The sequence below is a fragment of the Homo sapiens genome, chromosome 7 (genome assembly GCF_000001405.40).
Source record: "Homo sapiens chromosome 7, GRCh38.p14 Primary Assembly".
NCBI lineage: Eukaryota > Metazoa > Chordata > Mammalia > Primates > Hominidae > Homo > Homo sapiens.
The window spans coordinates 21602218-21629019 of NC_000007.14; the positions used below are offsets into that span (position 1 = coordinate 21602218).

At 37.7% G+C, this 26802-nt stretch overlaps 1 protein-coding gene across 1 annotated transcript in view, besides 1 other annotated feature; it reads left to right on the plus strand.

The window, feature by feature from the left end:
• DNAH11 (dynein axonemal heavy chain 11) overlaps nucleotides 1–26802 on the plus strand; it is a 358801-nt gene that overhangs the window by 59179 nt on the left and 272820 nt on the right. The window contains exons 19-25 of the mRNA NM_001277115.2: nucleotides 4209–4325; nucleotides 4430–4516; nucleotides 12897–13055; nucleotides 13992–14075; nucleotides 15402–15560; nucleotides 16883–17005; nucleotides 17739–17861. Coding sequence (NP_001264044.1) covers nucleotides 4209–4325; nucleotides 4430–4516; nucleotides 12897–13055; nucleotides 13992–14075; nucleotides 15402–15560; nucleotides 16883–17005; nucleotides 17739–17861 — 852 coding nt within the window. The remainder of the gene's footprint in view (nucleotides 1–4208; nucleotides 4326–4429; nucleotides 4517–12896; nucleotides 13056–13991; nucleotides 14076–15401; nucleotides 15561–16882; nucleotides 17006–17738; nucleotides 17862–26802) is intronic.
• Nucleotides 1811–1900: an enhancer, noted in NCBI's record as "active region_25700". NCBI's record gives its function as "activates an Ori minimal core promoter by ATAC-STARR-seq in GM12878 lymphoblastoid cells {active_cell/tissue: GM12878}" and the evidence as "EXISTENCE:reporter gene assay evidence [ECO:0000049][PMID:35858748]".

Consider the following 26802-nt stretch of genomic DNA (forward strand, 5'->3'; position numbering starts at 1 on the left):
TAGTCCACCTACTCAGGAGGCTGAGGCAGAAGAATCGTTTGAACTCGGGAGGTGAAGGTTGCAGTGAGCTGAGATCACACCACTGCACTCTAGCATGGGGACAAAGCGAGACTCCTTCTCAAAATAATAATAATACTAATAATAAATAAATGAAACTCAATTTGGATGGGGAAATCACTGTGCTTTCTAAATAGATTTCTATGCCATCCACCTGTTTCCATGCTGTGGAAAGATTTGGGGGCTTTTTAACAACAAAGTCTCTTTAATTAGAACTGAAATCATGAACCACAGTCTCACAATTTAGATTCTTTTTCTATGCCAATATTGATATTTTATAGATTGTGTGTGTGTGTGTGTGTGTGTGTGTGTGTGTGTGTGTGTGTACACACATGTACTTGAATTTTGCAAATGTGATCAGTGGACACATTAACCAAAAAGCTTTCACTGGATTCTAGTTGATCTAGTTTAGTAGTCAGAGCACAGAACTCAAACTTAGATTTGTTTTCAAGTACTGTATGAGTTCATCTTTTCTGTTTGCCTTGACAAGTTTGTTAATGTCTAAGACCACACTTACTTTTTGCTAAAATATGCCTCATGATCCCTCATTTAAACAATTTCTCTATACTTGCTCCCATCAATTTCTGTTTTTTTCTTTTTTTTATTGAGGTGAAATGTACTATTCGGATAACATATAAAAGTAACCATTTAAAAATGTACAATTTAGTACAATATTGTGCAACTACCACCTCTATCTAGTTCCAGAAATTTTCATCACTCCCAGAAATCCCATACCACTTCTCTGTCTCTCCCCATTATCCTCCTCCATGCCCTGCCAAGCCTTGCAAACCCCTACCCACCAATCCTTGGCAATTCCCAATCTATTTCTGCCTTTATGGGTTCACTTACTCTAGATATTTCAGATAGATGGAATCATACAATATGTGACCTATTTTGTTAGGCTTCTTTCACTTGGTATAATGTTTTCCAGGTTCATTCACATTGTAGCATGTGTTGGTACTTCATTTCTTTTTATGGCTGAATAACATTCCATTGTATGTCCGTCCATACCACCATTGGCTTATCCACTCGTCTGTCAATGGACATTTGGGTTGTTTCCATCTTTGGGCTATTGTCAGTAGTGCTGCTATGAACACTGGTGTGTATTTATTTGAGTATCTGTTTTCAATTCTTTTCAGTACACCTAGGAGTGGAATTGCTGGGTCATCTGGTAGTTCTATATTTAACTTTTTGAGCCATTGCCAAACTATTTTTCACAGTGGCTGTTTTGTTTTATATTCTGTCATTTTGCTTTGTGAGGATTAAATGCAGCAGGGTATTTACAAGTGCTCTCTTGACTATAAAGACTATGAGAATTACTGTATATGAATTGTTAAATTCTATTTAAGTATAAAACTGCCCTTAGAGCTTGCAAGCCAGTTAGACATGGAGCAAGATGACAAGTTCTAGACAGATACATACATAACAAGATGAAGAGATAAAACAGTTACAGTAGAAACAACTATAAATAGTTCTTGTTTCTAGGAAGATTTAGATATTCCTTGAATCAGATGTTGAACCTTAAACTATATCTCATAGAGAAAGTAGTCATAATAAGTAATTGATGAGGGAAATTTAGATATGGCCTCCAGAATTTGTATTATATAAGTTTGGTTCACTCTTTCGGGTGATGGTAGTATTGAAAGCATTAGGCTTTTCAACATTTCAAAAGCAGAATACAATTTTAGCTGTGTATCAGTAATTTAGACTTGTCAGGAGGGAAAATAAGATTCATAGGCGGTATGTGGTGTATTTGGAGGGTAACGAGGCCCAATTTTATTTTAATTTAAGCAACTTCAAGTGATAGTTACTTTCAGTTTCTCCTTTGTTATTATGAGAAGTCATAACATTTTCCAAATACTTGTCTATGCTTAGTTCTGTGGGAAAACACCCTAAAGTCTGGCTATGCCTACTAAGAGTTGAAGTATTACTTCCTTAAAGTCATGAGGACTCACCACCAGCAAGATCTTTGTCCTGTTGGAGCATCTCTTCAGTCTTTTGCCTCTTTTCACTGCTGTTAACACCCACTTTAATTCAGCTCTTGTTACTTCTCACCTCACAGCAACAGCCCCTTAATTCATCCCATTCCTCCTCACACCCCACCCACAATATACTCTGAAACAAGATGAATATTCTGATCTGCAGGACTTATCCAGTCCCTTTTCTGCTCAGAAACCTTCATTAACTGCCCCTAACTTCCCGAATGCTGTCCAGTTTCCATAAGAGCTCACACACTCACACCATCCTGTATTGGTCGTCATACCTCAAGGGATCTCACCCTAATCTCTGCCTGTTGAAACCTAGTCATTTCGTTGAGCCTCAGTTTCAGTGTCACCTCCTCCTTGAGTGGATCATCTGACTTTGAGAGGCTTTGGAGATCATCTGATCTTTTGGGTTTCAAGAAAATTTATTTTTACCAAGTAAAAACTTGTTTGGAATCCCCAAATATAAAGCAGGTTTGTTGTGTTTGAAGAGGGATAAGGGGACCTGAGCTCATGGATGTAACTTCCTCCTGGCTTCCCAGCCATGGCCTCCGAGGGACTCCATGGAATACTTAGGTTCCATGGAATGGAATTGGAAATGCAAAGTGAGACTCTGTCTGTACAGAGGGCGGATGCAGAGTTTTGATGAGAAGCCACGAGAGGGAAGGACAAAGGGGTTTAAAGCCCAGGTCCCTTGGTTCCTGAGCTGGTTTGGTATTCCTGTCATGTCACCAAATTGTCTCCCAACTGTTTTGATTCCATAACACATAGACCTCCTGATAGTTAGCACATTCTGTTGTGTAGAATAGTTATTGTGTGTGCCTCTTGCTCACTCTGACAGATTATAAAACAATTTGAGAGAATGTTTTACCTTTTTAGCACCCTGTTCACCACACAAATAGTATTTAGACCTAGCACAGTGCGTTTTTCCATAACTGGCAGTTACTGAATCGTTCATCAAATATTTACTGAGGTTTACAAAATAGTCTTTAGAACCTTTGAGTTTTGCACTTCAGCTACAAGTAGAGTTCCATCACTGTGGGTGGGTTTGTGTGACAAAACAATTTCACTGTCCCAGGAGATGACCGAGAGGAACAATTCTTTGTTAATTGGGACACAAGGAATGCTTTTCAACAGTAATTATGCTCCATGCATTGCTCCTTAAAGAAAATAACTTGCTTTTGTCCTATTTGCATTGTAGGCAGGGAGAGCAGAGTTGAGTTGGTACCTGAACTATTTATTGTGTCTTTTGTCCTACATAGAGTAGGAATTAACCTTTCTTCCCTTTGCCCTCTTCTCCCTTCAAAAACTCCTAGTCCCCTAAAATAAACCCAACCTCAATCCTCAAACTCTCCAACAAGAAGGAGAATGTACAGAGCTTTGGGAGCTAGAGAAAAGCCGAGGATGAGATTGATTCACATTTTCATCCTTGCCCCAGCATTTTCAAAGCATCTTTTTTTTCACTTGCTAAATTACTAAACATGGCTGGCTTCCATTTCTAGTTGTTAGAGATCAACAAAGTCATTTCCAGAGCACTTCAATTTTATTCCCACAGCAGCAAAACAATTAGGAGATTTGTGTTTATTTTAAAAAGATTTCCATGGATTCTGAGATGAGAACAATTCTGGTACATGCTTTGGAGTTCTGAACCCAGCAGTGCCAGTGAATCAGCCTGTACTTCAGCCTTGGTTCTAAGCCTTTTCATCACTTTCATCCTTTTTTATAAACTCATTATATAAGAATGAAGAGATGTCATGGGTTAGTGTAAAGAAATTAGAATCATTTACATGGACATGGTGGCTCATGCCTGTAATCCCAGCACTTTGGGAGCCAGAGGCAGGTGAATCGCTTGAATTCACGAGTTCAAGACCAGCCTGAACAACATGCTGAAACCCTGTCCTACAACAAATACAAAAATTATCTGGGCATGGTGGTACATGCCTGTAGTTCCAGCTACTGGGGAGACTGAGCTGGGAGGATCACTTGAGCCTTGGAGGTGAAGGTTTCAGTGAGCTGAGATCATGCCAGTGCACTCCAGCCTAGGGGATAGAGCCAGACCTTGTCTCAAGAGAAAAAAAAAAAAGAAAGAAATTAGAGTCATTTAATCCTATAGGGTTGATTTGTTTTAGGAATTGAAGTAATTTCGCATTTGTGCCTTTGCTTTTGCAGGAATTACCTGAAAGATGGGAAACTACCAAAAAGATCGCAGCAACTGTCAGACATGAAGTCTCACCTCTCCATAATGCGGAAGTCACTCTTATAAGGAAAAAATGTATTTTGTTTGACGTAAGCTAGTTACCAAGTTTTTGTTTTAAGAAAGGTTTTACTAGGATAATTGAAGTATTTGTTTGAAATTCACTTTTTTTTTTTTTTTTTTTTGCAATGATCAGGCAAAGCAGGCAGAGTTCAGAGAGAGATTCAGACACTATGCCCCTCTTGGATTTAATGCAGAAAATCCATACACAGCGCTTGATAAGGTAATACAGATCTCAAATATCCTGTGTGCATTAAAATAGCTACTTTAAAAAATGTAAGTTTAGACACAAAATACTGCCACATTTTGTCTTTGTTTTGCTGTTATAGGAATTGATTTATTTAAAACCCAGTTATAAGCAATTTCCCCTTAAGTAAATTGTATTGTATTTCAAATCATGCCTCCCAAAACCATCATCGTCATTGTATTAGGGTTCTCTAGAGGGACAGGACTAGTAGGATAGATGTATATAGGAAAGGGCGTTTATTAAGGAGTATTGACTCACACCATCACAAGGCGAAGTCCCACAGTAGGCTGTCTGCAAGCTGAGGAACAAGGAAGCCACTCTGAGTCTCAAAACCTCAAAAGTAGGGGAGCCAGCATTGCGGCCTTGAGTCTGTGGCCAAAGGCCCCAGACTCCCTAGCAAGCTGGTGTAGGTCCAAGAGACCAAAAGCTGAAGAACATGGAGTCCAGTGTTCGTGGACAAGAAGCATCTAGCACGGGAGAAAGATGGAGGCCAGAAGACTCAGCCAGCCTAGTCCTTCCACATTCCTCTGTCTGCTTTTATCCTAGCTGTGCTGGCAGCTGATTAGATGGTGCCCACCCAGATTGAGGGTGGGTTTGCCTCTCCCAGTCTCCTGACTCAATTGTTAATCTCCTTTGGCATCACCCTCACAGACACACCCAGGAACAATACTTTGTATCCTTCAGTCCAATCATGTTGACAGTCAGTATTAACTATCACAATCATCATAGTAATCATACGAGAGACAGTAACAACTACTACTATTTTTTGAGTCCTTACTATATGTCAAGAATTTTGTTAAGCATATGACTTTCATTATTTCTTTTTAATTCTCAGTCTCCCTATGATATGGCTTGTATTACTTTTCCTCTTTCAATTAAAAAAACAAGCTTGTGGCCGGGTACGGTGGCTCACACCTGTAACCCAGGCACTTTGGGATTCGAGGTGGGCATATCATGAGGTCAGGAGATCAAGACCATCCTGGCCAACACGGTGAAACCCCGTCTCTACTAAAATAAAAATTAAAAAAAAAATTGCTGGGCATGGTGGTGGGTGCCTGTAGTCCCAACTACTCAGGAGGCTGAGGCAGGGGAATCTCTTGAACCCAGGAGGCAGAGATTGCAGTGAGCCGAGATTGCGCCATTGTACTCCAGCCTGGCGACAGAGCAAGACTTCATCTCAAAAAAAAAAAAAAAAAAAAAAAAGGCTTGTATAATTAAGTAATTCCTTGCAGATTTCTGTTAGTAAGTGACAGAACTAGGATTAACATTCTGGCTATCTAAACTTTTTTTTTTTTTTTAATCAGAAATTTTAACCACTATACCCTTTCTCTTGTGATTCTTTTGCCCGTAACTTTTAACCATAGTCAAGGAAGCCCATAACTTATTCTTAACCCTGGACATGAAGATTGTTGAGTCATTCAATCCTAGTTTATAATGAACAACTGTACTTTATTATAGTTGACTATAAGAATGAATATGGTGGGCAAAGAATCCAAATGGTAAGTAATTCACAGAACACTTGAAAAGATGTTTTAAACTTTTATTAGAAAAATGGTGTCTTTGTTTCTCTAGGAACTTAACCTGGCAACCAAAATAAGAAAATAATTGGGTGAAGTTTAGATTTAGGAGCTGGGCACCTTTCTGAGTTGCTCATCTAGCCTGTCACCCTGATTTCATTTCATGCTGGAGATAGTCTTAACTCCTTAGCTGGATGCGGCTGACAGAGCCCTTACCTCTCTTTCCAAATTTTGGGTTGAATTTAGATTTAATTGCTTTAAACTTATTCAGAAAACACCATTCTATAGCATCATGTTGCCTCTTTCACTTGGCAGAAGAAAATTGGTTAACATATTCATTGAAAAGGGAGTAGGTTAGAGTATGCTAATATACTTGGTTTTATTTTTTATTTTTTAAAGATTATGTCTAAATTGCAGGTGGTCTGAACAGATTGTGGATGGGGAAACGTTTTTACTTGACTAACCAACATGCTGTATGTAAACATTTACTACAGTTACTTATTGAATTGTATCATGTTCATGCTATACTATAACAGCATGTAGTTACATATTTAAAAGTCAGAGACTGTACGCTTATAACTACAGGAATATTTTGAATGTAGTAGGGCTGGGTGAACTTTTTCTTGAAGTCATGTTCTTGGTGTGTTTGTTCAGCAGACATGTCTAATGTAAATCTAGTTAGACTCAGTGAAAGGCATATGTATTATTGTTCTGGGCTGGTATGGTGGACCCTGGTTCTGAAGGCATCTCAGTCCACAAGACAGAAAACACTGACTTTCCACAAATAAGGAGAACAGTACAGTGAATCCCTCCCTTTAAAATGAGGTTCCCTGGTTAAGTACTACCGTTTCTTCACAGCCAAAGATATAGTAACTGTATAATAACCAGCTGAATTAACATAACTGGGTATTTCTTCCTTTCCTTTCCTTTTCCTTTCGTTTTTCTTTTCTTTTCTTTCTTTGACAGAGTCTCGCTCTGTCACCCAGGCTGGAGTACAGTGGCATGATCTCAGCTCACTACAACCTCTGCCTCCCAGGTTCAAGCAATTCTCCTGCCTCAACGTCCTGAGTAGCTGGGACCACAGACAGGCACGCACCACCACACCTGGCTAATTTTTGTATTTTTAGTAGAGACAGGGTTTCGCCATGTTGGCCAGACTGTTCTTGAACTCTTGACCTCCAGTGATCTGCCTGCCTCAGCCTCCCAACTTGCTGGGATTACAAGCATGAGCCACTGTGCCCGGCCATAACTGGGTATATATTTCTAGGAATAATGGAATTAGTGTAAGTGATAGGAAAAAAAACGATTAAAAATAAATCAAAGGGATATTGGCTTTGGAGATTATGGTGGACCAGACATTTTGAAAAGCCCTCTTTCATAAAACAGATGCTGAATACATATTCACAAATGTGTAATTTTTAATCTGTTGCGGAGTTCACAAGAACATAAAACAAATCTCTAAAGGGCAAGAAAAAATAGAGGCAAATGCAGAAGCCTGTGCTGCTGTAGTGAAAATGGAAATATCAGAAGTCTAGAACTATGAGATTGAGTTTCTCATGGGGAAGTAGAAGATGCTGTTAAGGGTGATACCCTCATTGGAGAGTGGGCTAGGGAAGGTCTGCAGCCTGCAAAGGAAGCCGATGAGATCACTGTGGGTCTTCACTAATGCTCAGAGTAGGGTGAAAAAAACAGAAAAGGGGCCGGGCGCGGTGGCTCACGCCTGTAATCCCAGCACTTTGGGAGGCTGAGGCAGGCAGATCACAAGGTCAGGAGATGGAGACCATCCTGGCTAACACAGTGAAACCCCGTCTCTACTAAAAATACAAAAAATTAGCCGGGCGTGGTGGCAGGCGCTTGTAGTCCCAGCTACTCGGGAGGCTGAGGCAGGAGAATGGCGTGAACCTGGGAGGTGTAGCTTGCAGTGAGCCGAGATTGCGCCACTTCACTCCAGCCTGGGCGACAGTGCGAGACTCCATCTCAAAAAAACAAAAACAAAACAGAAAAAGATACTCTGGGAGTTTGTAAACATATTCCTGTTCTCACAAGGGTCTATGGTCCGGTTTTATACTACCCCTCTGATTAAGGAATTTCTAAGACAGGAAATTGAAATGGTTACAAGTATCTTCCTAGTAACTAGTAGAAGCAAACCTAAATCATCTCTGGAAAAAAGCACTCTCATTCAGTCTCTTTAGGGGGTCCAACAGATTAAGTTCAGTCAAATATGAGTACACAATAAAACAATGAACACACCATTACGCATAAGAGTCAGTTGAAAGAAACCACGGATAGAGATGCATGCAAAGTTTCAGATATTAGAAGGAAATAAAAGATAATATTGAAAAAAATGAGCAAGTTCTCAGTTTTGAGACTATCAACCATGATCAGTTGAATTTGAAAAAGGGCCAGATACTTACAGAAATGAAAAATACAGTTGTGAAAAAAAAAATACAACTCAGCAGATGGGTTAAAGAGCTCATTAAAATTGGAAAGAGAATTAGTGAAATACAAATTACATTGGAGGAAATCACTTAGAACGCAGTCATAGGTGTAAGGAGATGGAAAATATAAAAGAGCCTAAGGGACGCATAGAAAGAAGTTAGAATGCCGTCCAACTGTTCTATTCATACTTCCTGGAAGAGAGAATGAACAGAATATAGTCTGCAAGATAATAGCTAAGACTTAAAGGACTGGTTGTGATGGTTAAATTTAGGTGTCAACCTGACTAGATTAAGGGATACCTACAGAGCTGGTAAAACATTATTTCTGGGCATGTCTGAGGACACAGGAGAGACTGGTTTGTAAGTTGGTGGACTGAGTGGAGAAGATCCACCTGCAGTGCGGGTGGGCATTGTCCAATTGGCTGGGGGCCCAGATAGAAGAAAAAGGCAAAGGAGAGGCAAATTTGCTGTCTCCTCTGGAAAAGGAATACCTTTCTCCTGGTCTTGGACATCAGAATTCCAGTGTCCCTGGACTTTGGACTCCAGGACTTGAACCTGCAGCCTCCCACCCTCAGCATCTGGTTCTTAGGACTTTGGCCCCGGACTGAGGATTACCCTATCAGCTTTCCTGGTTCTGAGGCCTTTGAACTTGCATTGAGCCACACTGCTGGCATCCGGGTTTCCAGCTTGCAAATAGCTTATTGTGAGACTTCTCAGCCTTCATAATCGTGTGAGCCAATACCCCTAATGAAACTTCCCTCATGTATCTATTTATTTTTTCCTATTGGTTCTGTCTTTCTGGAGAACCGTGACTAATACACTGGTCAAAACATGAATCGATAGATTCAGGAAATTCACCAAATCCCAACCAGGATAAATACAAAGACTGCATCTAGACACATCACAGTGAACTGCAGAATACCAAAAGCAAAAATATTTTCAAAGCAACCAGATAGAAAAGACTGGTCACTTGTTAGAAATGATGATTAGGCTAAGAGCATACTTCTCATTAGCAACAATCGGAGCCAGAAGGTAGTGGATGATGTCTTTCAATTCTACTGGGAAAAATTCTCTCTCAATAATAGTGAAATGAAGATATTTCAGGTAAACAAAAATGCAATATATTTACCACCAATAAACCATTACTAACATAACTCTAGTTATTTATAGTGAACCATCACTAACTCTAGTTATTTATAGTGAATAACTAGTTATGCTCCAAACAATGCCAAATTTGCTTCTTAGAAAAGACTAACTCTATGGACAAACCTCTGGTGAAATCATCAAGGGAAAAACAGAAAAACAGCAAAATTAACAGTATTAGAATAAAATAGGGAATGATTGTACAGAAACAGCAGATATTCAAAAATATAGAGCACTATTAATAAGAAACTTAAAAACTTAAAATGGATAAATTTTTAGAAAAATATAATTTACCAAAACTGTCTCAGTAAATCTGAGTAGTCATATAACTATTCAAACTTAGCCAGTCAGAAAATAAAAAGAAAAATATTAACCAGTAGTTAAAAAACAAAAAAATTTCCAAAACAGAGACTAAGAAGGCTGGGCATGGTGGCTCACGCCTGTAATCCCAGCACTTTGGGAGGCCGAGGTGGGCAGATCACAAGGTCAGGAGATCGAGACCATCCTGGCTAATACGGTGAAACCCTGTCTCTACTAAAAATACAAAAAATTAGCCGGGCGTGGTGGCAGGCGCCAGTAGTCCCAGCTACTCAGGGGGCTGAAGCAGGAGAATGGCATGAACCCAGGAGGCAGAGCTTGCAGTGAGCCAAGATTGCACCACTGCACTCCAGCCTGGGCGACAGAGTGAGGCTCCGTCTCAAAAAAAAAAAAAAAAAAAAAAGAGACTAAGAAGCCCTGATGGCTTTACAGGTGAATCTTAAGAAGCTTTCAAGAAACGGATCTCATTCACATGATTCCAGGAACCTGAAGAAGAATGAACACTCAAAAATTACTTTGTGAAGCATGTCTGATTTTTATAAAGGCATAGTATGAGAAAGGAAAAAAATATAGATCAGTCTTTCTCACGTACATATAGATACAAACATACTAAACAAAACAATCAAATTATACCAATTTATAAACAAGTTTTCATTTAAGGAAAATAAGTTTCACTTAACATTAGAAAATCAGTGTAATTAATTGCATTAACAAATTAGGGAGAAAAAATCGTATGATTATCGCGAGAAATGCCAAAAGAACTTTAGCTATCATTCAACATTCATTCATGATAGAAACACTTAGCAGCCATTTTTTACCTAATAAAAGAATGAAAACTCTACGTAAAATACTATACGATAGGGAACGTGAAAATTTCCAGAAGCATTAGTAATAAGGGTGAAACATAGGAAAAGACAAAATGACTATCAGAAGTAAAAAAAAATAGTGTGTATTCATATAATGTAGTACTATGCAGTAGGGGAAATGAACTTCACACACATCATCATGAATATATAGGTGGACATAAATATCAATTGAAATGTGATATATGTAGTAAACTGCATTTCACAAACATAAATTTTAACATTTAGCGCTTAGCAATACATTAATGTGAAAATATTATAAAAATTAGATTATTAAATAAAAAGGTAGGTTTTGTGGTTAAATATGTAGTAGGGAAAAGAGGGATGAAATTAAGAAAAGGCATTAAAAATTATTAGTCATATTTCTTAGGCTAGGTGGGGAACAAACGCATATATCCTTTTATGTGTATAAAATGTTTCATAATAAAACATTTTAAAACTAAAAGAATTGCAGTTCTTGTATGTGAAGATATAACTTGTAAAAATGAAAGCAGGATGCTAATACTCTTCTTTACATAGTAGGAAATGAAGAGACAGAGTTGGGGTTGGGGAGATGTTAGTTCACAAGACTTCTTGTACAATATGGTGACTATAGTTAATAGCAACGTACTGTATTTTGAAAATTGCTGAGTAGATTTTAAGTGTTCTCACCACAAAAAGTGTGAGATGATGAAGTATGTGAGATAATGCATATATTAATTAGCTCTATAGAGCCATTTCACAATATATAGATTTTTTGTTTTGTTGAGACAGGGTCTCACTCTGACCAGGCTGTAGTGCAGTGGTACAATTTCAACTCAGTGCAGCCTCAACCTTCCCTGATCTTACTTAGGTCATTCTCCCACCTCAGCCTCCCGAGTAACTGGGACTATAGGCACATGCCACCATGCCCAGCTAATTTTTTTTTTTTTTGCACTTTTAATAGAGATGAGGTTTTGCTACATTGCCCAGGCTGGTCTCAAACTCCTGGGCTCAAGCAATCCACCTACTGTGACTTCCCAAAGTGCTGGGATTACAAGCATGAGCCACTGTGCCCAGCCTCGCAATTCCAAAGCATCATGTTGTACGTGATAAATATATACAATTTTTATTTGTCAATTGAAAAAGAGTTGAAGGTTGATGGAACATAAAAGCATTAAGTATAGGTATTTAAAGTTCAAAGAAACTAAAGTAATACAATTGTTGGATCTTGGGAGGAGGATGGGAGAAAATAGAAAGTGGAAAAACAAAGTCAAATCCTTCTTTTGCAAAGCCAGTAGTAACCTAGTATAATGTCTAAACGTGATCAATCAACAAAGAGCAGCTTGAGCACAGAATTGGAAGTTACAGAAATAGCATCCAAAAGAATGACTGAACCTGAAGGATTGCTTTCCTGCCTTGCAAGTGCTCCTCTACACCTTGAACTTTTACCATGTAAGCATAGTACCATTTTGTTAATTAAAGATGAAAATTAAGACTTGGTCATCACAAAAGAAAAAACATGTCAGCATTTACGTTTGGTGTAAAATGTAAACTATTCTATGTAGATGGGGTATATAATTGAACCTTGATAAAGACAGTCATATGGTGATGTTTTCATACTGGGCTGTGTTTTTAGCTTTATGCTTTATTTCACAAATTCTCTTGAGTGCATTTGATATTATTGATAATCTGTAGGGTATTTTTTAAATCTGAAAGTTTTAATAAACTAAGTCATTACTTAAAATATAATTCATTCTTACATGGAAGTTTCTAGAGCCCCACCTTTTGTTCTTCAGCAAATTCCCCAGCTCTCGGTACAAAAACCAAGAGGAAAAATTGTATTCAGAGAAATCTGATGAAGAAGAAATTTTGCTAATACGTGTATAGGGACAGTATTGTTGAAGTTACTGTGTTTAACAGTAATCTGTTCTCACTTTTTGTGCAGCTGAGTTTGCTCTTCTAAAACCTACATTTTGCCAGTAATTACGCTGCAGATTTATTTTTATTTTCCCGTTAAAAATCAAAGATTGAAATGTCGAGATAACCAGAGCTACAGAACTGCATGTCTTCTCTTTCTCTGGCAGTTTGTATGCAGGTGTTTATGTTCTCTCCTTAGGCAAATGAAGAGCTTGAGGCCTTAGAAGAAGAAATGTTGCAGATGCAAGAATCTACTCGTCTTTTTGAAGTGGCTCTTCCAGAGTACAAACAAATGAAACAGTGTCGCAAAGAAATAAAATTGCTCAAGGGACTGTGGGATGTCATTATTTATGTTCGAGTAAGATGTGCTTTTTCAAAACATGCTTTTTATTTAGTAGTTCTTTTACATATGCAGTTTGTGGAGCCTATATTATTCTATTTGGGTTTTATAATGTCTTGAAATATGTGGAAATTAGATCCTCACCCCAGCCCCAAATTAGAGTTCATGTATCTCTGTTAGTGGATGATTCTTCTTTGAATACCAGTTGTTTTTATTTTTAGTTCAGGATGAAACTTTGTTTAATAAGCTGACTGCCTCAAATCCTTTGGGGAGATTGTAAAGAATATAAATAAAATAAAAATTAATATATAAATATATATTACATGTGTAGTCATCTGTGCATACCAACTCATACATATTCCTATGCTTATACTTACATGCCTGGGCATACACAAACAGACCCTTCCTAAAAATAATTTGTATGTGGTTAATTAAGTTAAAAACTTAAGTGAAAAAGTAAGTTCTAGGGAATGAGGCATATTGCAACAAGCACTATAATCTTTTATGTTAGTTGAAAGCCATATAGAAATATATTAACAAAATATAAAATATGGTCAAGAAATGGTTGATGAGAGTTTTGTTTATAATGGTTGAAAATTGTCATGTGAAAGCTTATTTAGTTACATGTAGAATTATAAAAGTCTGTTATTTAATAATCTACTTATCAATTTATTCAAAGTACACAGGATTAAGTGATAATGATGGTATGTGTATGGAATTTATCATCGCTACTAGAAATTAATATATCATAATGTTTTAGCCTTTAGCTTGACGTGTTCTGACAACTTTTTTGTTTTGGTGATAGGGAAGTTTTGACAAGTGCAGTTAATATTTTAAAAATTGACTTTCCACTGGATGATAGAGTTACAGTGTATCATCAGTTTATATATTTTGCTGCAGAGACTTGCTTTCACCAAATGTTGTTGACACTTTTATCTGCTTTTGCGTTTTCAGAGAAGCATTGATAATTGGACTAAAACCCAGTGGAGACAGATTCATGTGGAACAGATGGATGTAGAACTCAGAAGGTTTGCCAAGGCGAGTTCCATAACTGTCTATTACAACAATTTATCTTTCTCAGCACCACCTCCTTCCATCTTCCCTAATCTAGTATCTGGTGTATTGGGCTGCATGTACTTATTTACTTCTAACAGAGTGATAGCAGACAGTGTTTTTTTCACCCTTAGCCAGTTGCACTTCTAATCAAGCCTGTCTTTCTGTGAGTGAGTTGATAGAAGCATATTAGGGTTAATGAATTTATGAGAAGCTACTCTAATTATGAGCTTCCTACAGCTTCCTAGAACAGAGAGGAACATTATCAGGGCCAAGGGGTCAGGCTTCTGAAAGCTTTTGATTTCTTTGCTTAGCAACCATAAACATTTTGTATCTGAAAAGGTACCTTTTGGCTCTGGAATTTGGGGCAACTAATAGGAGCATGCCACCTCTGGATTTATGCGGAATACTATGATCTTTGTTCTTATTAATGACTCTGGTATCCCAAGGGGGCTCAACATATACAGAACTGAGCCTATTGTAATTTGGTACTTATTGGAATTTGATGTCTATTCTGCATAGCCGTATGCCCTCTGAAGACAGAGCATCTTTGGATAAAGGCAAAATGCATATCAGTGAAAGGCAGTTAAAAGTGACAGGACCATTTGCTTTTTTTCCACCCCAGGGCTTCCTTGCCTCAGCTTCTACCCACTCTCGCCTGTATTTTCCCCCATATTATGCCAGTCCCAAAGACCCAAACTAAAATGTCCCTTCATTCTTTCGGATGTCATGGGGTCACATTGTCCTTTATTTCGTGCTAAGTTCTAGTTGTTTTCTTATGGGTTTTCTCATTCACAATTGCTGATGTTTTTCCTTGGGCTGAGAGGACCAGCCAAGTCAAAGGACCTATTTGGCATTTTAAGATGATGAAATATTTAGGTTTCAAGAAACAGGCACTCAAAGGTAATCAACATTCCAAGGCTGTTGTTTAAATGAGTCATGTATTCCGAAGGAGGTCTTAGTAATCTGATAACAGTCTGTTTCCATTTACTTATGTTTATAGAAGAAACATTCTTCATTGCACGTGTCCTGTGAACTCTGTTACTTACCTGTGTTTCCTCATGGGACATTCAGTTAGATCTTGTGAATGAGAAAGCAGTGTATACAAGTGGCTTGTACGGAGTGGGCTTGTAATGTACAAATGAGTGGATCCCTTTTCGTTTCTCTGGTTTTGCTCCTTGGTCTAGGAGTTCAAATGCTTTCACTCTTTTCTAATCCAGGAGTTGGGAAATATATGTCAAAGGAGGCAAATTATTAATATATACTGTGTTATATCTTGGGAGCTAGGTTTTTTCCTCCACTTTTCTTTAGGAAATTTGGTCACTCAACAAGGAAGTCCGCGTCTGGGATGCTTACACGGGCCTGGAAGGCACAGTTAAGGACATGACAGCCTCCCTGAGGGCCATCACAGAGTTACAGAGCCCTGCCCTCAGGGACAGGCATTGGCACCAGCTGATGAAAGCTATTGGGGTCAGTATCCTTGGTCTCACTAATGAACCTTTTTATGACTGTGAAGTGTTACTTCTTGGTTTGCATCATCTGAGATGAAGTGTAATTTATGAAAAGACCCCCCTCAGCATAGCCTCTACTTGCTGTGTTATGCCTTTTTGCTGTCTAGAAAAAGTCGCCTGATCCGACCAACAATTTAGAAAAAGGCACCCTCCTCCAGGCTGTCCCCAGGACAGCAGAGCGGAGGCTGGCTTCCATCTCCATTTGTCATCTGGGCTGGTGTCCACGTTCAGTACACAGATTGCACAACTAATCAGGGTGGCCCTATTACTCATCTCTCCTCATTCTTTCTCAAGGACAGACCTAGCTCCCTGGCTCCCAGCAACTCTGGAGTGAGGCCAAAGTTGACACAGAGATAGTCTGGCAAACTCATCTAGCTTTCTCAGGACTTTCCAGATTTTAGCACTGAAAGTATCACATCCCTGAAATCCACTTGCTAGAAACCCCTCAGTCCGGAGCAAATCAGGGCATTTGGTCCTCTTATGCAGAGGCGTGGATGGTGCTAAGGAATGTTAGAGGGTAGGGAGGGGCAGAGGGTGGCAGCTTCCAAGAAGCAGATTCTGGATATTCTTAGCAAAAGCCGGAAAGAAAATGGCTTTCCTGCAACCCATATGGCTGGCTCAACTCTTCACTTACAGGAGACATGAGTGAGTTTGGGTATGTCGAAGAGCTGAGGATGTCTCAAGGACCCAATATAGGGGAGGGAAGGAGAGTCAATGTGAGAGAAGGGGAGTCATTGTCACAAGACAATGTGGAAATGAGAATTATTTTTCACATGGTAAATATGAATAATGACACTGTAAGACTATTTTTTTTGCCAATGAACTGAGATTAAATTAGTGATAAAACTAGGTTAAATCACAGAAGCAGCTGGGAATTATGTTCAGTGAATAGGGTTCTTTAGGAAGAAAAGACAAATGAGCCACTACCTGATTCCTGGGATTTCAACCAAATTATAATAAATGAACAATGAGATTCTCTTTAAAAATGGGTTTTGTGGGCAAAGGAGATAAGAAACGTGCCGACAAGGGAAAGATGTGAAACAAAGAAAATAGTGTAGCACGGATGTGACTAAACTGTGGCCCTTGCTTCCGGCAGGTGACGCCTCAGGAATTGTGAGTTAAAAAGGAGTGTCTTAGATTCTCCACGTATTTCAAGACGAGAGATGTACTCAGCACCTGACTTGAGTATATTTTAGTTAAGATTCATTTCACCAGCCTTTAGGCAAAAGGAACCGTTCATATATGTGGAATATAAAGTCTAACTTTTTTTCCCCCAATCAGGTCAAGTTTTTAATAAATGAAGCCACAACTTTGGCAGATTTGTTAGCACTGCGGTTACACAGAGTGGAAGATGATGTCCGAAGGATTGTGGACAAGGCGGTGAAAGAGCTGGGGACTGAGAAGGTAGTGTCCTCGGGACTGGGTCATTTCTACTTGGCTAATTTTGGGTATTTGCATAGAAGCCAACTTAGAGAAAAGTCCTTTTGATGTCCTGGGAGCCTGGAGAGATGAGTCCCAGTTTGTTCCCTGCTGTTCATTAGGTGTGGGATGAGCAGGAACTAGAATCATTCTAAGCCACAGTAAAACAGGAGGATTGGTCTTGTTGATGATGATGATTATAGCAGAAAATACTTACATATCCTTTATTTTGTAGCCAACACCACTCTGAGTGCTTTATTTATATTAACCCATTTAATCTTCTGAGGTAAGTAATAGTATCTCTATTTTACACATGGGGAAACTGAGGTATAAAGAGATAATTAACTTACCCAGATTCACACAGAAGACTGAGATTCATTCACATTTGAGGCATTACCTGTTTCATGCTGGCTAATTTGTAAATAGTATCTACCAAACATTTAAGTCCCTTCCTGCTCTTGAATTGTGTTTTGGTTAGGGATGATAAACTCACATTCAGTAGAAGTTTGATGTTAGTGTGATGCTCATACCTTTGATGTGATAAAATTCATTCTTCAAACCCCATTAGCATGAATTACTTGGAGGAAAAAACTCAAGCCAATAATACTTGATATCAGTTTGCATTTTTGAAAGTTGAAAAAAATTAATTCCAGATAATAGTCTACATATTGATTATCAATTAAATTTTGTGCACATTAATTATATTGTTGATTACTAGGTTATTACTGAAATCAGTCAGACCTGGGCAACCATGAAGTTTTCTTACGAAGTTCACTATCGAACAGGCATTCCATTACTAAAGTCTGATGAACAACTTTTTGAAACTCTAGAGCACAACCAAGTAAGATGGATATTTTTATTGCATATATTTTTCATTTTATTTTTATTTGACAAATAATTGTATATATAGGGTACCATGTGATGTTTTGATGTATGTTTACAATGTGGAAAGATTAAATCAGGCTAACCGTCATCTCATACACTTAACATTTTTTTTGTGGTGAATCACTTAAAATCTCCTTTAGGAATTTTGAAACATACAATGCATTATTATTTATTGTAGTCACCAACTGTGCAATAGATCACTAAAGCTTATTCCTCCTGTCTAACTGAAAATTTGTACCCTTTGATCAACAGCTCCTCTTGCCCCCTCCCCCCGGCTCTGGTAACCATCATTCTACTCTCTGTTTCTATGAGTTCAACTTTTTTAGATTCCACGTGTAGATGGCATCGTACAATATTTGTCTTTTTGTTCCTGGCTTATTTTGCTTAGCACTGTCCTTTAGGGTCATCCATGTTGTTGCAAACCAGGATTTTATTCTTTTTTTTAAATTTTACTATTATACTTTAAGTTTTAGGGTACACGCGCACAATGTGCAGGTTAGTTACATATGTATACATGTGCCATGCTGGTGTGCTGCACCCATTAACTCGTCATTTAGCATTAGGTATATCTCCTAAAGCTATCCCTCCCCCCTCCCCCCACCCCACAACAGTCCCCAGAGTGTGATGTTCCCCTTCCTGTGTCCATGTGTTCTCATTGTTCAATTCCCACCTATGAGTGAGAATATGCGGTGTTTGGTTTTTTGTTCTTGTGATAGTTTACTGAGAATGATGATTTCCAATTTCATCCATGTCCCTACAAAGGACATGAACTCATCATTTTTTATGGCTGCATAGTATTCCATGGTGTATCTGTGCCACATTTGCTTAATCCAGTCTATCCTCGTTGGACATTTGGGTTGGTTCCAAGTCTTTGCTGTTGTGAATAGTGCCACAATAAACATACGTGTGCATGTGTCTTTATAGCAGCATGATTTATAATCCTTTGGGTGTATACCCAGTAATGGGATGGCTGGGTCAAATGGTATTTCTAGTTCTAGATCCCTGAGGAATCGCCACACTGACTTCCACAAGAGTTGAATACAAACTACCATCAGAGAATACTACAAACACCTCTATGCAAATAAACTAGAAAATCTAGAAGAAATGGATAAATTCCTCGACACATACACCCTCCCAAGACTAAACCAGGAAGAAGTTGACTCTCTGAATAGACCAATAACAGGCTCCGAAATTGTGGCAATAATCAATAGCTTACCAACCAAAAAGAGTCCAGGACCAGATGGATTCACAGCCGAATTCTACCAGAGGTACAAGGAGGAACTGGTACCATTCCTTCTGAAACTATTCCAATCAATAGAAAAAGAGGAAATCCTCCCTAACTCATTTTATGAGGCCAGCATCATCCTGATACCAAAGCCGGGCAGAGACACAACCAAAAAAGAGAATTTTAGACCAATATCCTTGATGAACATTGATGCAAAAATCCTCAGTAAAATACTGGCAAACTGAATCCAGCAGCACATCAAAAAGCTTATCCACCAGGATCAAGTGGGCTTCATCCCTGGGATGCAAGGCTGGTTCAATACACACAAATCAATAAATGTAATCCAGCATATAAACAGAACCAAAGACAAAAACCACATGATTATCTCAATAGATGCAGAAAAGGCCTTTGACAAAATTCAACAACCTTCATGCTAAAACTCAATAAATTAGGTATTGATGGGACGTATCTCAAAATAATAAGAGCTATCTATGACAAACCCACAGCCAATATCATACTGAATGGGCGAAAACTGGAAGCATTCCCTTTGAAAACTGGCACGAGACAGGGATGCCCTCTCTCACCACTCCTATTCAACATAGTGTTGGAAGTTCTGACCAGGGCATTTTGGCAGGAGAAGGAAATAAAGGGTATTCAATTAGGAAAAGAGGAAGTCAAATTGTCCCTGTTTGCAGATGACATGATTGTATATCTAGAAAACCCCATTGTCTCAGCCCAAAATCTCCTTAAGCTGATAAGCAACTTCAGCAAAGTCTCAGGATACAAAATCAACGTACAAAAATCACAAGCATTCTTATACACCAATAACAGACAAACAGAGAGCCAAATCCTGAGTGAACTCCCATTCACAATTGCTTCAAAGAGAATAAAATACCTAGGAATCCAACTTACAAGGGATGTGAAGGACCTCTTCAAGGAGAACTACAAACCACTGCTCAATGAAATAAAAGAGGATACAAAGAAATGGAAGAACGTTCCATGCTCATGGGTAAGAAGAATCAATATTGTGAAAATGGCCATACTGCCCAAAGTAATTTATAGATTCAATGCCATCCCCATCAAGCTACCAATGACTTTCTTCACAGAATTGGAAAAAACTACTTTAAAGTTCATATGGCACCAAAAAAGACCCCGCATTGCCAAGTCAATCCTAAGCCAAAAGAACAAGCCTGGAGTCATCACACTACCCGACTTCAAACTATACTACAAGGCTACAGTAACCAAAACAGCATGGTACTGGTACCAAAACAGATATAGATCAATGGAACAGAACAGAGCCCTCAGAAATAATGCCACATATCTACAACTATCTGATCTTTGACAAACCTGAGAAAAACAAGCAATGGGGAAAGGATTCCCCATTTAATAAATGGTGCTGGGAAAACTGGCTAGCCATATGTAGAAAGCTGAAACTGGATCCCTTCCTTACACCTTATACAAAAATTAATTCACGATGGATTAAAGACTTAAACGTTAGATCTAAAACCATAAAAACCCTAGAAGAAAACCTAGGCATTACCATTCAGGACATAGGCATGGGCAAGGACTTCATGTCTAAAACACCAAAAGCAATGGCAACAAAAGCCAAAATTGACAAATGGGATCTAATTAAACTGAAGAGCTTCTGCACAACAAAAGAAACTACCATCAGAGTGAACAGGCAACCTACAAAATGGGAGAAAATTTTCGCAACCTACTCATCTGACAAAGGGCTAATATCCAGAATCTACAATGAACTCAAACAAATTTACAAGAAAAAAACAACCCCATCAAAAAGTGGGCGAAGGACATGAACAGACACTTCTCAAAAGAAGACATTTATGCAACCAAAAAACACATGAAAAAGTGCTCATCATCACTGGCCATCAGAGAAATGCAAATCAAAACCACAATGAGATACCATCTCACACCAGTTAGAATGGCAATCATTAAAAAGTCAGGAAACAACAGGTGCTGGAGAGGATGTGGAGAAATAGGAACACTTTTACACTGTTGGTGGGACTGTAAACTAGTTCAACCCTTGTGGAAGTCAGTGTGGCAATTCCTCAGGGATCTAGAACTAGAAATACCGTTTGACCCAGGCATCCCATTACTGGGTATATACCCAAAGGATTATAAATCATGCTGCTATAAAGACACATGCACACGTATGTTTATTGTGGCACTATTCACAATAGCAAAGACTTGGAACCAACCCAAATGTCCAACAATGATAGACTGGATTAAGCAAATGTGGCACATATACACCATGGAATACTATGCAGCCATAAAAAATGATGAGTTCATGTCCTTTGTAGGGACATGGATGAAATTGGAAATCATCATTCTCAGTAAACTATCACAAGAAGAAAAAACCAAGCACTGCATGTTCTCACACATAGGTGGGAATGGAACAATGAGAACACATGGACACAGGAAGGGGAACATCACACTCTGGGGACTGTTGTGGGGTGGGGGGAGGAGGGAGGGATAGCATTAGGAGATACACCTAATGCTAAATGACGAGTTAATGGGTGCAGCACACCAGCATGGCACATGTATACATATGTAACTAACCTGCACATTGTGCACATGTACCCTAAAACTTAAAGTATAATAATAATAATAATAAAATAAAAATAAAAAATAAAAAAAAAGAATCCACTTTCTTAATATCACTAACTCACTAATGAGGGCAGAGCCCTCATGGTACCTCTTAAAGGTCTCACCTCAAACACTGTTGCATTGTTGATTAAGTTGCAACACATGAGCTTTGAGACACAATAACAGGTAGTACAATAGCAGGTAGTGTGAACATTTTAACAATATTAAATACTGGGATAACTTTAAATACTGAATACCTTTCAGTGTGTTTGTATTATCTACATTTTTTCATCAATGTTTTGTGGTTTTTAGTATACAGATATTTCACCTCCTTTGGTTAAATTTGCTCAAGTATTTTATTGTTTGATACTATTGTGAATGGGATTGATTTCTTAATTTCTTTTTCAGATAGTTTGTTGTTAGTATAAAAGAATGCTGATTTTTGTGTGTTGGTTTTGTACCTTACAAGTTTGCTTTATTCATTTATTAGTTCTAACAGTTTTAGGATGGAGCTGTTAGGATTTTCTAAATATAAGATTATGTCATCAGCAAACAGACACACTTTCACTTCTTCCTTTCCATTTGAGTGCTTTTTATTTCTTGTCTAGTTGCTCTGGCTAGAACTTCCAGTACTGTATTGAATAGAAGCATGAGAGTGGGCATCCTTATCTTTTTCCTGATTTTAGACAAAAAGCTTTTGATTTTTTGCTGTTGAGTATATTAGCTGTGTGCTTTTCATGTTCAGCCTTTATTGTGCTGAAGTACATTCTTTATATGCCAATTTTGTTGGAAGTTTTAATCATGAAATGATGTTGAATTTTACCAAATGTCTTTTCTGCATATATTCAGATGTTCATATCATTTTGTCCTTTCTGTTAAATATGGTATATCACATTTATTGATTTGCATATTCTTGCATTCCTGAGATAAATCCCACTTGATCATGGTGAATGATCTTTTTTAGTGTACTGTTAAAATCAGTTTGCTAGACTTTGCTGAGGATTTTTTTAATGTATGTTCATCAGGGATATTGGCTTCTAATTTTCTTTACTTGTGGTGTCCTTGTTTGGCTTTGGTATCAGAATAATCATGGCCTCATAAAGTGAGTTTGGAAGTATTTCTCCTTAAGTTTTTTTGGAAGAGTTTGAGAAGGGTTAGTATTAGTTCTTCTTTAAATGTTTGGCAGAATTCCACCGTGAAGCCCTCCTGTCCTAGGCCTTTCTTTTGAGGGGAAATATTTTAGTATTCAATCAGTGTCTTTACTCATCTGTTGAGATCTTTTATTTCTTCTTGATTCAGTCTTGGTAGGTTGTATGTTTCTAGGAACTTAACCATTTCAATTTGTTGACATATAACTGTTCATAGTAGTCTCTTATGATCCTTTGTATTTCTGTCGTATCAGTTGTAATAACTCTTCTTTCATTTCTGATTTTGAGTTATCTCCCTTCTTTCCTTAGTCTGGCTAAAGGTTTGTTGATTTTGTTTACTATTCAAAAAACCAATTCTTCATTCCATTGGTCGTTTTGTTGTCTTTGTAGTCTCTGTTTCATCAATTACTGCTCTGATCGTTATCATTTTTTCCTACTATTGATTGTGGGCTTAGTTTGTTCTTCTTTTTCTAGTTCCTGAAGGGTTAGCATTAAGTTGTTTATTTGAGATTTTCTTGTTGTTGTAAACACTTATTGCTAAAAACTTCCCTCTTAGAACTGGTTTTGCTGCATTCCGTAAGTTTTAGTATGTTGTGTTTCTGTTTTCATTTGTCTCAATATATTTTAAAATTTCTCTTTTAGTTTCTTCTTTGACCCATTGGTTGTTTGGGAGCATGTTATTAATTTTCATGTATTTGTGAGTTTCCAAAATTCCTCCTGTTATTGATTTCTACTTTTATGCCACTGTGATTGGAAAAATACTTGATGTTATTTTTGATCTTCTTAAGTTTTTAGCTAAGATTATCTGGCAGACTTGGAAAACATTTATGTTTTTTTATATTGATGCGTAAGAGATGTACATAATTTGGGGGTACATGTGATAATTTAATATATGCATATAAAATGTAAAGATCAAATCAGTGTAATTGGGATGGCCATCATCTTAAATATTTGTCTTTGTGCTAAAACTACTGGAATTTTTCTCTTCTAGATCTTTTGAAATACACAATAGATTATTGTAAACTGTAGCCACCCTACTGATCTATCTAACACTGGGTCTTATGAGACCCGCTTTTTAAAAAAAATTCCCACATGTGAATGGGAATACGTGATATTTGTCTTTCTATGCTTGCCTTATTTCACTTAACATAATGTCCTCTAGTTCCATCCACATAGCTGCAAATGACATGATTTAATTATTAGTTTTATGGCTGAATAATATTCTATTGTATGTATATGCCATTCTTAAATCTATCTGTTAGTAGGCACTTAGGTCAATTCTGTATTTTGGCTATTGTAAATTAGTACTGCAAAAAACATGGAAGTGCAGATGTGTTTTCAACATACTGATTTTCTTTCTTTTGGGTATATACCTAGTAGTGGAATTGCTGGATTACATTTTTCGTTCTTTGAAAACTCTCCGTACTGTTCTCCATAGTGACTATACTAATTTACATTTCTACCAACAGTGTACAAGTGTTCCCCTTTCTCCACATCCTTGCCAGCAGCATCCATTTTTGCCTATCTTTCTGGTAAAAGCCATTTAACTGGGGTGACATCATATCTCATTGTATTATGATTTGCATTTCTCTTAGGATTAGTGATGTTGAGCATTTTTTCATGTAACTGATGGCCTTCTGTATGTCTTTTTTTTTTTTTTTTTTTTTTTTGAGGCGGAGTCTCATCTGTCACCCAGGCTGGAGTACAGTGGCGTGATCTCGGCTCACTGCAAGCTCTGCCTTCCAGGTTCATGCCATTCTTCTGCCTCAGCCTCCCAAGTAGCTGGGACTACAGGCGCCCGCCACCATGCCTGGCTAATTTTTTGTATTTTTAGTAGAGATGGGGTTTCACTGTGTTAGCCAGGATGGTCTCGATCTCCTGACCTCGTGATCTGTGTGCCTCTGCCCCTAAAGTGTGGGATTACAGGCATAATCCACAGCGCCCGGCCTGTGTGTCTTCTTTTGAGAAATGCCTATTCAAATATTTTGCCCATTTTAAAATCAGATTGGGGTTTTGTTTTGTTTTTGTTTTGCCACTGGGTTGTTTGAATTTTGTATGTATTCTGGTTATTAATCCCTTATCAGATGAGTAGTTTGCAAATATTTTCTCCCATTCTGTAGTTTGGCTATTCACTTCGTTAATTGTTTCTATTGCTGTGCAGAAGCATTTTGTCTTGGCATGATCCTGTTTGCCCAGTTTTGTTTTTGTTGCCTGGGGTTTTGAAGTCTTACACACACACACAAAATCTTTGCCCACACTAAAGTCCTGGAGCATTTCTCCAGTGTTTTCTTCTAGTAGTTTTATAGTTTCAGGTCTTAGATTCAACTCTTAATCCATTTTTATTTGATTTTTGTTTACATTGAGGGATAGAAATCTAGTTTCATTCTTCTGCATATGGTTATCCAGTTTTCCCAGTACCATTTATTGAAAAGACTGTCCTTTCCCCATTGTATGTTCTTGGCACCTTAGTTGAAAATTAATTGGCTGTAAATGTATGGGTTTATATCTTGGGTCTCTATTCTGTTCCATTGGTCTCTGTGTCTGTTATTATGCCAGTACTATGCTGATTTGGTTACTGTAGCTTTGTAGTAAATTTCAAAGACAGGTAGTTTGATGCCTCTAGCTTTGTTCTTTTTGCTCAGGATTGCTTTGACTATTCAGGGTCTTCTGTGATTCCATATAAATTTTGAAACTTTTTCTATTTCTGTGGAAAAAAGTCATTGGTATTTTGATAGAGATTGCATTGAATTTAGAAATTGCTTTGGGTAATATTGTCATTTTAACAATACTCTTCCAATCCATGAGCGTGGAATATCTTTCTGTTTTTTGTGTGTGTCTTCAGTTTTTTTCATTAGTGTTTCATAATGTTTCTCATATAGAAACTTTCACTTTTCATCTTTCACTTCTTTGGTTAATTTGATTCCTACATAGTTGATATTATTTGTAGCTATTGTAAATGTGATTGCCTTCTTGATTTCTTTTTTCAAATGTTTTCTGTTGGTACATATAAATGCAACTGTTTTTTGTATGTCTACTTTGTATTCTGCAACTTGCGTAAACTTGTTTATCAGTTCTAACAGTTTTTTTTTTGATGGAGTCTTTAGGTTTTTCTAAGTACAAGATCATGTAATCTGAGAACAAGGCTAATTTGACTTCTACCTTCCAGTTTGAATGCCTTTTATTTCTTTCTCTTGCCTAATTGCTCTGACCAGGACTTCTAATACTATATTGAATACAAAGAGTGAAAATGGGTATCTTGTCTTGTTCCAGATCTTAGAGGAAAGGCTATCAAATTTTCCCCATTCAGTACAATGTTAGCTGTGGATTTATTGTATATGTCCTTTACTATTTTGAGATATGTTCCTTCTGTGCCAATTTTGATGAGGGTTTTTATCATAAACGGATGTTGAATTTTATCAAATGTCTTTTTGAAATTTGTTAAAATAATCATATGGTTTTTCTTCTTGGTTCTATTGATGTGCTACATCACATTTGTTGACTCACATAAGTTAAACTGTCCTTCTATCTCTGGAATGACTCCCACTTAACCATGGTAAATGAGTTTTTAATGTATTGTTGAATTCCATCAGCTAATATTTTGTAGAGAATTGTGGCATCTATGTTTATCAGTAGTATTGGCCTGTAATTTTCTCTTTTCTTTGTGTCCTTTTCTGCTTTTGGTATCAGGGTAATGCTGGCTTCATTTTCTTAGTCTAGCTAAAGGCTTATCAATTTTATCTTTTCACAAAACCACCTTTTGTGTTGTTGATCTTCTGTATTTTTTCTTCAGTTTTAATTTTATTTGTTTCAGCTCTCATCCTTGTTATTCCCTTCCTTTTGCTAATGTTCACTTGGGATTGTTTTTGCTTTTCTAGTTCCTTGAGGTGTATTGTTAGGTTGTTGATTTGAAGGCCTTCTAC